This window comes from Homo sapiens, chromosome 14 (genome assembly GCF_000001405.40).
Source record: "Homo sapiens chromosome 14, GRCh38.p14 Primary Assembly".
Classification (NCBI taxonomy): Eukaryota; Metazoa; Chordata; class Mammalia; order Primates; family Hominidae; genus Homo; species Homo sapiens.
In genome coordinates, this window is record NC_000014.9 from 79,869,917 (window position 1) to 79,882,255 (window position 12,339).

Sequence of the window (12,339 nt, forward strand, 5' to 3'; positions counted from 1 at the left end):
CTGCTCAGAAGACAGTTCCAGAATTAAAGCATGTAAAATAATAATGAGGTCTCTCCCTTCATGCCAGTAGTGTCTGATGCTAACAGATAAGCTCTGAATTCACGCACACACACACACACACACACACACACACACACACTCTCTCTCTCTCTCTCTCCTGTCTCTCTCTCTCTCTCTCTCTGTCTCCACTTCTTTTGAACAAAAGGAAAAAAATGAGTTGCTTGTTCCTATATGGTAATACATTGTAAATCGCTTCAGGTATTGTGCTTGTCTTTTGTACTAGAACTTGTGTATCTTTTTCTTTTAAAAATGCAAAACATATTTAAACACTGCTATTATAAACACCACTTCCCTAAAATATATTTTAAGAACATAATTCCCATATGTGCTTAGGTGGACAGGCTTGACTTCCTCATCTGGCAAATGACAAGCTGCAATTTGGTACATATATGTACACCAGGGCAATAGCATTTTTTTTTTTTTTTGAGACGGAGTCTCAGTCTGTCGCCCAGGCTGGAGTGCACTGGTGCGATCTCGGTTCACTGCAACCTCTGCCTTCCTGGTTCAAGTGATTCTCCTGCCTCAGCCTCCCAAGTAGCTGGGATTATAGGCACTTGCCACCATGCCCGGCTAATTTTGTGTATTTTTAGTAGAGATGGGGTTTTGCTATGTTGGCCAGGCTAGTCTCGAACTCCTGACCTTGCGATCTGCCCACTTTGGCCTCTCAGAGTGCTGGGATTACAGGCATGAGCCACCGTGCCCGGCCGGCAATAGCTTTTATAACTAGACAGGTTGATGTTATGAAGTAGTAACTGGCAAGTGTATTTTACTGAGAACATTAGGTATAGATAAGTTAATGGGCTTTGAAAAAAAAAAAGGATAAAAAGTAATTGGACCACTCCTTGGTCACGATTAACACTGAAAACAGTAATATTTTTTTTTAATTAAAAGATTTTACAGGTCAACCATACATGGACATGTGACTTTGATATTTCTATGACATAAATCAGTTGAAGTGGGACCGCCATCATGCCTATATCAAAAAGCCCTCTACATGCACACAAAAAGGAGAAAGTTTTCAAAGCCTAAGCCAGTCAAATAATGCTCAGATGAAACAGCGGATTACAAGGCCTCGGTTAACAAGTACTCCAGCTCCCGAACCAGTGGGCATCCCAACATTGACTTTGGCAGGCAGGTGCTGGATGACATGCAGAAGGGGTCCTTAGAGGCTGTTTCCCCTTACACAACCTCAAAGAAGTTTAAATTTTCAATTTACTTTTTAAAAGCAGATACACAGTAAACATTGGAATGTGAGTTTTATGCTAAATACATTTTGGTTTCAGAGTAGTTATCTCATGCTGCCAGAATAGCCCTGAGGATTAAGATGGTTTATTGGGATCAAATGCCTAGGAGATTTATTATAGTGCAGACTGTTTACTCATTCCCATTAAAATGCTGATAATGCTTATTTCTTTACCTCTCTCTCCCGCCTGCTTTCTTCCTTCCTCCATAACCCATATTCTATTATTTTATTTTCCTGCTTTAGGTTGAATCTACTTAGATTTTTATTCTTTATTAAAAATTGAATCCTTGGAAGCTCTCTGACTTTATGGCTGCAAGAAAGTGGCAATGGCATACATGCAGCTCATTAAAGCCTTGGGAACACGGAATCCCTGCTTAGCAATTTAGATCTAAGAAGTATTTTCAGGGAGAGTGTCTAATGACTGGAGAGATGGGTACACACTGGAACAATTTATATTAAAAGATCAAAAACACCCTGGCTATCATCATCTATAATATAAAGTCACGTAGAAGTAAAGATAATTTTCTTCCAGGTAGATGCTTTAGTTGGATAAAGAGGAAGATTATCTACTTTATGGCCAAATTCTATGTAAATTATATGTAAAACATTCAAGAAGGCAGATGAGTTTACACACAATATAGCAGCTTTTAGGAAAATAGACATGAGACATCAGAAAATATGATCACTTAAACTGGAAAGCTAGAGCCCAGGAAGTAATCCTGGAGAACTTGATAATGCATCCATATTTATAAGAAAGCCAATCATTGAATCTATGAAAATATGTAGAATGATTTTATGAAAGTTGTGGTTGGTCAGGCAAGTGTTTGCCATGATCTAAAATATTCATCTTGAATCCTCAGTAACCCTTACAGTGTCTGGCACAGAGGAGGTGACTGAGCAACTTTAGTGGAAGGAACAATTGAATATAGCTGATCTGATACTCATGGGATGTACAAACACATCTTTATCATTTTCCTTTTTTTTTTCCCCCAGTACTTTGCTTTGAAAATTTGAGGCCAGCCATTTGTCAAACTTTAGCACGTGTGAGAATCACCTGGAGGGCTCTTCACGACACAGATCACTGACCCCACTAACTACAGTTCATCTGGAATGAGATCTAAACATTTGCATTTCTAACCTGCAAAGGCAGTTCTGTGCTGCTGGTCCATGGACCACATTTTGAGAAGCACAGTAGCCTATAAAGTCACAAAAGAGCAATTATATACTTCAGGGCAAAAGAGTAGTCAACTCCATTAATTTAAAAAGCATGACTTGATGTCTTTTCCTGCCCAATGGCTCAGATGTCTTCCAATCTGAAAGCTCTTTGAATCTATGATGAATTATTTGGATACTGCTGATGTGGCAGAGAAGGAAGCTGATTTGCTAGAGGAAAGTGATAAAAGAGGAATGCAGCCAATTGAGCCTTACTATTAGGATCTGTGCTAAACTCTTATCTCTTGTCACAATTGAGAAAAATCAGGCTTAGAGAGTTTAAGTGACTTGTCCAAGTTCACACTTCCAGTAAGTTGTGAGATCAGAACTTGATCCTTCCCTGATACCTAAGAAATTAAGACATGTAAGCCAAATTCCAAATATAGGCCATGGTAGCAGAACCAGTATTGACAGCAATATTAACAGTGCCAACAATTATAGCAATTTGAATATTACTCCTAAAGAGTCCTATGATATGGATATTATCTTCATTTTATCTTTGAGAAAACTCAGAAAAATAATCTGTCTGAGATTACATAGCTAGCAAGATATGGACTAAGGAGTATAAACTCCAAAGCCTGCCTTGTTTATACACCACTAAGACCTAACATCAAGCAGTACCCTTCCTAGACCCTTTAATGTAAATACATTTATCAAATGTGGATGGCCTATAATGTTACTATAGGATTCCACTAAATGAAATTTTGTCATTTGCCCATTAACGACAGATGAATGCTGTGATGACCTACCTGATGCATAGTGTCAAACTTTTATGTCCCTATCCATAGGTTTACTGGGTCCAATAGTACATTTTTATAATTTATTTTAACAAAGCAATATATACATATAGTTTAATGGGACAAATAAAAGCTTTACAATAAATAACAGCAGCCCCCTGCTCTAGTTTTCCTTCACTCCTCCCACATCCTGCTTGCCAGAGGAAACCACATTCTGGTCTTATTTTCTCTGGTAATTACCTCCACATTTCTCCAGATAAAATATGAACCTATCTTTTGACTCACTGATTTCAGATGTTACTGACTTCCTAATGTTAAATGTTAGGATTTTGTCTGACACCTCCCTTTCTCTTCCTCATTCTTCCAATATAGTTATATTATACATTTTAATTAAATACTGTTAGGTCCTTTTATGATTATGACTACAAAAATACTGTCCTGTTGACTAAAGTATTTTTAGAATTCCTTTTGCTTTTCTACCTAAATTTTTATAAAATGCTTAGCTTTTTCTGGAATTGATAATCACTTTTCATTCCCCCCCCACCTCACCTACTTGGATTCATTTGGCTAAATCTTCTCACTCCCATTAATAGCTTTCACAAATGACTCAAGATAAGCTTTCACAAATGACTCAAGACAAGCTTTCACATTGTCAAGTCTTACTAATGATGTATTCAATCTCCTTGTGTTAATCTTTGAGGCATCTCCCCCAGAGTTCTCTATTTTCTTGCTCCAATCTGAACTGGTTGCTCTTTCAACCACTTTCACAGCTACTACCCATCATCATCAACTTGGTTTTTTCATCCTCTCCTGTGATGGATTTCCTGTTTTCTGGTTTCACATTGTTCCTTTACATTATTCCCTTAGTTTAGTAAAGCACATTCTCTAGTAGCCCCCTGAAAATGGATGTATCATATGTATCTCAAGATTTTTCATATCTGGAAATATTATCATTTACATTTGATACTTTTCTTCAAGTACAGAACTCTAGAGATAAAATTCTTTCCCCTATTTATTGTATTTCTCTATGGTCTTCTAGCTTCTAATGTTCCTGCTGGGTGGACCAATGACATTTTGGTTCTTTGTCTTCTGCGTGTGACCTGTTATTTTTTTTTCCCCAGAATATTCTCTCCCTGGTGTTTCAAGTGCCATGATGACATGCTTTGGTGGCTGCTGCTTGGTTAGCAACTCTATGAACCTTACAATCTTGTCAGCAGAATAAGGATTATATTCAGAGTTTAATCAAATATTTCCTCCTCCCATCTTTTTGTAACCGTATGCACACACTGCAAGAGAGACTGCATGCTTCCTTTTTGCAAAACTCTGTGCAAGGCATGGTTCCTCCTTTCAGGATGCTTGACATCTAGTAAAGTCAGGTGTGATAAGCACCTAATCTAAAATAGAAAACAGAATTTTAAGCATCATATATGAAAAGTATCACATTGCTTCAAGAAAGATAAATAATTTTAGATAGGGAGATGGGAAATATGCTAAGAGTGAGGGGATGTTTGGTGAGTTAAGAATGTTGGAAGAGTGGTAAAGGTAGACGGGAAGTTAGCATTGGAAGGTGTCTGAAGTCTGGGTGGTTAGCACCTGTAGAAGAGGTAGAAGAGGCATTCAGTCATAGGCATCAATATGTGGAAGGCATAAAATGGGAAAATGAAAGACTTTTCAAGAATAACAAGGTGGCTGGATTCTAGTTGACACATGGGGAAATGGGAGATACATAAGAGGAATTTGGGGCCAAAATACGGCAAGCTTTGCATGCAAACTCAATTGTAGGGAGGTAATTGATTTCAATTCAATTTTTTCATTTACTAGTTCACATTTGCTGACAGATTACCGTGAACCAGTCCCTGGCTGGGTGCTGGAGAGAGACCTGAAAGAAACAAGGCTCCTGCTCTCAAGCAGTTAGGTGTCTGTCTCACGTGAGACTATGTTGTGTTGTACTTCTGTTTGTACCTAAGTTCTACAGATGAAGTGTGAATGAGATATATAATTTGCATTGGGAACACAGAAAAAGGAAGAGCCAGATTGCCTGGATTGTTTAGAAACGGCCAAAAAGAGATGATGGCACCAAGAAGAGAAATGCTATTGGTATAGTTTATTGGAAGTATTGGTAGAGTATTCTTGGCAAAGGAAATCACACATTCAAAGACACAGAGATAAGAACACTGGTATGTATATACACTTATATTTATTCATTCATCCTACAATTTTTTTTTTTTTTTGAGACAGAGTCTTGCTCTGTCACTCAGGCTGGAGTGCAGTAGTGTGATCTCAGCTCACTGCAACCTCTATCTCCCAGGTTCGAGTGATTGTCCTGCCACAGCCTCCTGAGTAGCTGGGATTACAGGCACACACCACCATGTCTGGCTAATTTCTTTTTCTTTTTCTTTTTTTTTTTTTTTTTTTTTTTTTTTTAGTAGAGACGGGATTTCACCATGTCGGCCAGGCTGGTCTCCAACTCCTGACCTCAGGTGATCCACCAGCCTCGGCCTCCCAAAGTGCTGGGATTACAGACATAAGCCACGGCACCCAGCCACAAATTTTTGTTGAGTGCTTATTAGGCACTAGCCATAGTACTAGCCATGCTCGAGGAACTATAGATCTTTCAGTAGAGAATATGGTGTCCCTCCTAGGCTGTCAGCTTCATGAGGCCAGGAGTTATATCTATCTTATTTGTTGTTTTGCCAATACTTTATATTTGTTAAGTGAATATATACGGTACTATAGTAACAGATATCTATAGAGAATATGAGTACACAATGATAAACATGTTCATGAAAGAGATGTTTTAAAAATTAGAAATGTTTAATGTTAATTAAAATAAGGAGTACAGATAAAATTGTTTAGAGGCTATGTGTGTATATACATATGTGTGTGCATATGCACGTGCATATATGTGTATACATAGACATATATAGACACTGAGGGCTGACTATGTCTATAGTCATTCTCCTTCCTCAGTGTCCATGGGGAATTGGTTCCAGTGTCACCCCAGGGATACCAAAGTCCAGATGCTCAAGTTCCTTATATAAAATCATGTAGTATTTGCATATAGCCTATGAGCATACCCCTGTATACTTTACGCCATCTCTAGATTACTTATAATACCGGATAAAACTTATAGGCTATATTAATAGTTATTTGTATCAATTAGGAAATAATGACAAGGAAAAAAAGTCTGCACAAGTTCAGTACAGATGCAACCATCCTTCTTTGTTCCCAAATATTTTCAATCTGCAGTTGGTTGAATCCCTGAATGCAGAACCCATGGATAAGGAGGGCCGACTGTACACACACACATACATACACATGTACGTACATACACACATATACACACACACGTATTTCCAGTAAAAAGAACAGAGGTCAAGGAATGAAATACATGGGAACTCAAACATTTTTGCACGAAATAGGAAAGTACTATCATTACAGGAGAGGCGACATCTACCACGCCAGAGGGAAGGTTTGTTTATTTATATCCCCTGTAAACTTTGACTGGTAAAATTGAACAACTTATCTCTGGAGAATTTTTTTTTCTTTTTTTTTAGACGGAGTCTCACTCTGTCACCAGCCTGGAGTGCAGTGGCACAATCACAGCTTACTGTAATCTCCGCCCCCCCAGGTTCAAGCAACTCCCCTGCCTCAGCCTCCCGAGTAGCTGGGACTACAGGTGTGCACCACCACACCCAGCTAATTTTTTTGTATTTTAGTAGAGACAGGGTTTCACCATATTGGCCAGGATGGTCTTGATCTCCTGACCACGTGATCCACCCACCTCAGCCTCGCAAAGTGCTGGGATTACAGGAATGAGCCACCATGCCCGGCCTCTTTGGAGAATTTTATAAGTGCCCCTTCTAAAAACCTCAATGCTCTGTCTCCCTCAGCCCTTGAACATTTGGTTCCACCAGCCAACATGATTCCTGCCTCTAGAATTGGTGTTTCTACTTTGCCTTTCTTTAGTCATTGAATCCTAGTTATATCCAAACTCAAACTTAGCTCATGCCCTGTGTGCCTCACCAAATAGAAACCAATCCCAGTGTTTCTTCCCCATGGAACATAACCATGATCTAGCCACTTGACCACACTACAATCAAGAAAACCCTATCCTCTTCTCAATGGGGCATTTTGACACGGGACAAAGTGGCCGCAGAAGGTACAAACTACTTTAAAGCATTATCACCAAAGCATCACGAAAGGGAGAACTGCCTTTTTGAAGCACAGCATTTAATAAGACCTGAAAAGTAGGTCGGACCCAGGGGCTCACACCTGTAATCTCAGCACTTCGGGAGGCCGAGGTGGGTGGATGACCTGACGTCAGGAGTTCGAGACCAGCCTGGCCAGCTTGGCAAAACCCCCTCTCTACTAAAAATACAAAAGATTAGCCGGGCATGGTGGCAGGTGCCTGCAATCTCAGCTACTCAGGAGGCTGAGGCAGAAGAATCGCTTGAACCTGAGAGGCAGAGTTACAATAAGCCAAGATCACGCCACTGCATTCTCCAGCCTGGGTGACAAAGCAAGACTCTCTCTCAAAAAAAACAAAAACAAAAACAAAAACAAAAAAACACCTGAAAAGTATTCTTCGACTTCCAGGAATAGAACAAAGACAAACTTTTTGCCCTCAAGAGGCTCAAGGCCTTAAGAGACAACACTCACTATAGGTAAATATTTAATTCCCCTAGGTAAGCCCAGCGCTGCAATAGGTTTATGGTGGGTACCCACTGTATGGTTGTGGAATGAATTAATGCACATGCCATCCACGCTCTCACCTGTTTCTTTGACTTGGGTTTGGCACCTAGAAGGTCATTGTTGCCCACATAAGAAGATTTTCCATGCAGTAATAGAAGCAGAAGTCAGACAGCAAAAACTAAGGACTGTGTGAAAGATGAGAAAGTCAAGTAAATGGGCAGACAACCTACTATTCTGGAAAGATTAAGTTTTTAAGAGACATACAAATTTTCTTGATGGCAATTATTTGAAAATAAAAGTCAGAGTGCCCCACGATTTTACAATGCAAGTAGATTCTCCATATGCCTTCTATCCCTCAAAAGTATAAAAGACAAGTAGTCAGTTTGCTTGGCAGCCTGAAATCTCTTTAAGGACAAGGACCAGCTTTTATTTATTATTGCCATTCCTACAGTTCTTAACTTGGCATTTGTTGCATAATAGGTACAATGTTTAAAGTACATATGTTGAATAAATTCACTTATGAATAACACAAATAATATGCTGGCTATTTTTACATATTCTACAGTATAAGCAAGGGGAGAGGAGTAAAACTTTAATAGCAAAAGATGGAAATTGGGCAAAATGTATCACTTGGCCACATTTTACACATGACATCCCCATGAGATAAACAAACTGTTGGTGGTAAATGACAGTGAGTGAATGAATAAATGCAACATTAGATAGAAAATATTCAACATATGTACAATCTTAGTTATGAGGTTATTTTAATGATCAAAGGCCTTACTGGATATTGAAGTGTTTGTTTAGTCGATGTGTGTTCATCAGCATGACACCTACAACTGTTCGCCAAGCATTTTGGGGTGAATTTATCAGAACGGACTCCAAGCCATCTCTAATGATAAAATGCATAAATATATCCAGAAGGAGAAGCAGGTCACTTTTTCCTACCTCACATTCCCTTTCCCAAAGGAAACTGATTGCCAAAAAGTGCCACCTCTCTGCTTATTTTTATTATTCAGCAGAGAGTGGGGAATATAGTGCCATCTCATGCATTACCATTCCAGAGACGTGATCAGTAAGTGCAGTAATTGCTATGTGGAAGCAAGAACAGATTGTCATGATTCCTTAACCTGGGTAGAAAACAGTGCATGCATCTTGTAATTTGCTTTGTAGATTGCTAAAGTGATTGACACTGTGGGTTACAGTGTATAATTTTCCCTTTTTTGTGTGTAAGACTGCATAATTCCAGGCATGTTTGCCATCATATGGCACGAGGCATTATCATTCACCTTGAATTTTTCCTAAACTTGTCTTCCAGAAAAAAGGACGAAAACAAGGCAGCACCCTGTCTTCCCATGGCCATATAACCACTTTTGAGGAGAGAATGCAATGAAATAAGTACCATGAGAAAGGGACTAATCTTTCTTTAAATGACAAGATCTTCCATAGAGACTGCAGCCCAGTGATAGAAACTTCTTCTACACTGTTCCTGATGCTTTATTTTATTTACCACAGCAGCTAACACTCCACTCTGGGACCAGAATACACCAGCAGAAAGATCTATAAAGAATCATTAGAGTTTTAGACAGATGTATTCACAATTCTACAAAATACATTCTCAACTGGAGTTAGTTATTAGCTGGTAATCAGCTTTGGTAGCAACATGTATCAAAGCTCAAGGAACCTCCTCATACTGATCACTCACCATCTTGTGCCATCTGGGTAGAAATGTACAAATTCAGATTTTACACATTTATACCGACAATGGGCTACACTACTAGAAAAGGTGGTGGGAGAGCTACTAGCATCACCTGAAATGTTTCCTATCTGACTGAAATATTCAATTATGGCTACTCCAATAAAGATACAAGTTCTGGGAAATAACTGTTTTCAGAACGAAGTCAGTTCTCTATCAGTGGTTTGACAAGGCAGAATGACTGATTGTGAAGAGAGTCTTTCAGAGAAATGGCCAAATAATTCCTAGTGGGGACATTGCATCACTTTAATGTAAAATGTTGGGAAGAAAATTGAAACAAAAATGAATACATTGAACGACACTTTGAAAGTAAGTACAAAATAGTAAGGATACCTGTCTTTATACAGAGAAGTTTCCATTTAACTGGTAGGCATTTCCAGAAACTAGACATGTTTTATTTATTTTTAAAACTAAAATGTATTTTTTTATTTTTATAAATATGCTATAAAAATAAACAAAATAAATAAGCCTATTTTATGTTTCCTTTTTCTACTACTCAAAATATTGCTTCACAAAAGTGAGATGTCATTTTCCCAGAATTTTTTTTTTTTTTACATTTACCTATTTTTATACCTGATTTAGATTCCCTCTTCCAGGAGCTAAAACTGGCTACCATGCAGATAATGTCAAAGGAGGAGGAATAAAATATAAGAGGTATCAATAGGAAGCTTGAATTTCCTGAGAGTGGAGAGTCATGAGATCTGCTCATCTTTCAATGTGTGCTTAAGATGCCATGCCTTTGAAGAGACAGGACACCAAGCGCAGGATAACATCCATTGTTTCACACCATGGAAATATAGCCTATTTTAAGATAGCATCTACAGAATGCCCCAAAAGGAATTCCAGTGCTTTCTATTATTTATTTTAGTTTACCTCAACCTCCTTTTGGGATTGAAAGTTAGTGGTTCCAGATCCCTAAATCTTCCTGAGGACTAAGGGTACATTTGTTATTTTTTTTTTGTCCTGTTTTCAGCCCTACTCCTCTGAAATAGCCTGAGTACACACGTTTTTGCCTTGCTGAACTTTTTTCCTTTTACCTCCCATTTGCCCTCTCCAATTCAATTTCCTTAAAAAAATAAAATAAAATAAATGGGCTGTCAGAAACTAAAGCTTTACACACTGGAGCCTCCCTGCATTCAGGAGGTAATGAGTGATTCTTTCACTTGTTCACTACACTCTAATCCTAATTTAAGGCAATTCATTTTATGATTTTATGTCTTGGTGATAGTATCTCATGAATAACAATGAAAGAATGAAAGAATATTCTATCACTGCAGACTCTCTTACAAAGTGGTGACATATAAATGCAAAGATAATTGCCATTTAAAAATAAAGGTTCTTTTTTCTTTAAAGGCAATCAGTTGATACTAAAAACTAGTCAAAACATATGTTTTCCACTTCCTGCTTTAGTCTGATTAATACAGACAAGCTTTGACCCAAGGATACTATCACTTTGAGAGTGTCACTGATGTTTACAGTAAAAGTAACGAGTTCTACTTAAAAATTGACACTATGCATTAGAAGCAAGAAGTTATCTAATAAAAGAAGATTGGTACATATGCAATTAGGGATTCAAGGATCAATTGTGCTTTTAATTACTTAGCACATCAGGAACTTGATCTCAATAATCCAAACCATGTAGACAGATCTTGATTCTATGGCAAAAATGATCTGAGAAACTGGAATAATTAAAACTCACAGATAATCCCAAACCGTTATGGCAACAATTCATTAAGATCTCCTTCCTTAGAGAAATGGTTTTATAAGAGCTACAAATCATTACAAAACTGGCTGGCTTATGTCTCCTCTCCTTTGATGATTCCACTGAAATCTCCGGGGAAGGCCATGCAAAGCAGTGAAATAGCCAAGTCAGGAAGGAAGAGAAAAGGGACAGAGCTTCAAGGAGAAGCCATAAAACTTCCAAATGCACTAGACTGTCAGTGGTGAGTGTGTCCTCGAGAATAGTTGAAAACAGGATTTGCATCATTCCACGTAAAACAGGAGTGAGTGAGTAACCTATGGGAGAAGGTGTGTGCTGATCCAGGTGGCAATCCCCAAGCTAGAACATGAATAATTTATAGTTTGGTAACTACGTAGAAAGACGTTTTAGACATCATTTTTCCCTTATTTTCTGCCTCCCTTCTATTAGCCTCAGTAATACCAGCATACAAGACTCTTTGTTATATCCAAGTAAGAGAAAATCGCAGTACTCTCAACTTTATCTTTCTCCTTTTTGTTATTTTTCACTGGCATACCCCCTGCCTTATCAGTCACAGCCTGGACTAAGCTCTTGTTACAGACGACCTAACTTCTGATTCACCAAGTTCCTTGATTAAACAATATTTTATCCTCAAAACTTCATTTTACAAAACCTAGATACATGTCTGCCAGGTCTTCATGCCCTCATTTCAACAAGACTCTAGAAAACTCTAAGCAAGCTTTATCATTCTGTCTCACAGTCATCTATCAAAATCTATGTTTATGCATGCTCTTGACAGTAATTTTCATCAGGATGTTGCAAACACATTTCCCAACATGAATAAAGGAAATCATACTCAGGAATGCCAAAGGAGCACAGTGACTTATAGACAATTGACCCAGGAGGGGTTTTCCTCTCTCAGAGGGATATCCTTTGG

General features: G+C 38.3%; 1 long non-coding RNA gene across 1 annotated transcript in view, besides 1 other annotated feature; it reads right to left on the minus strand.

Annotated features, from left to right (window-relative positions):
- The window catches only part of LOC105370582 (uncharacterized), a 42,877-nt gene continuing 34,887 nt past the window's right edge, over positions 4,350–12,339 (minus strand). The window contains exons 2-3 of the long non-coding RNA XR_944054.3: positions 8,028–8,132; positions 4,350–4,646 (exon numbers count right to left, since the gene is read on the minus strand). This is a non-coding gene — a long non-coding RNA (uncharacterized LOC105370582). The remainder of the gene's footprint in view (positions 4,647–8,027; positions 8,133–12,339) is intronic.
- Positions 5,778–5,947: an enhancer, noted in NCBI's record as "experimental_37584 CRE fragment used in MPRA reporter constructs". NCBI's record gives its function as "activates a minimal promoter by MPRAs in K562 erythroleukemia cells, with activity observed for the non-introgressed 14:80342122 variant allele {active_cell/tissue: K562}" and the evidence as "EXISTENCE:reporter gene assay evidence [ECO:0000049][PMID:34662402]".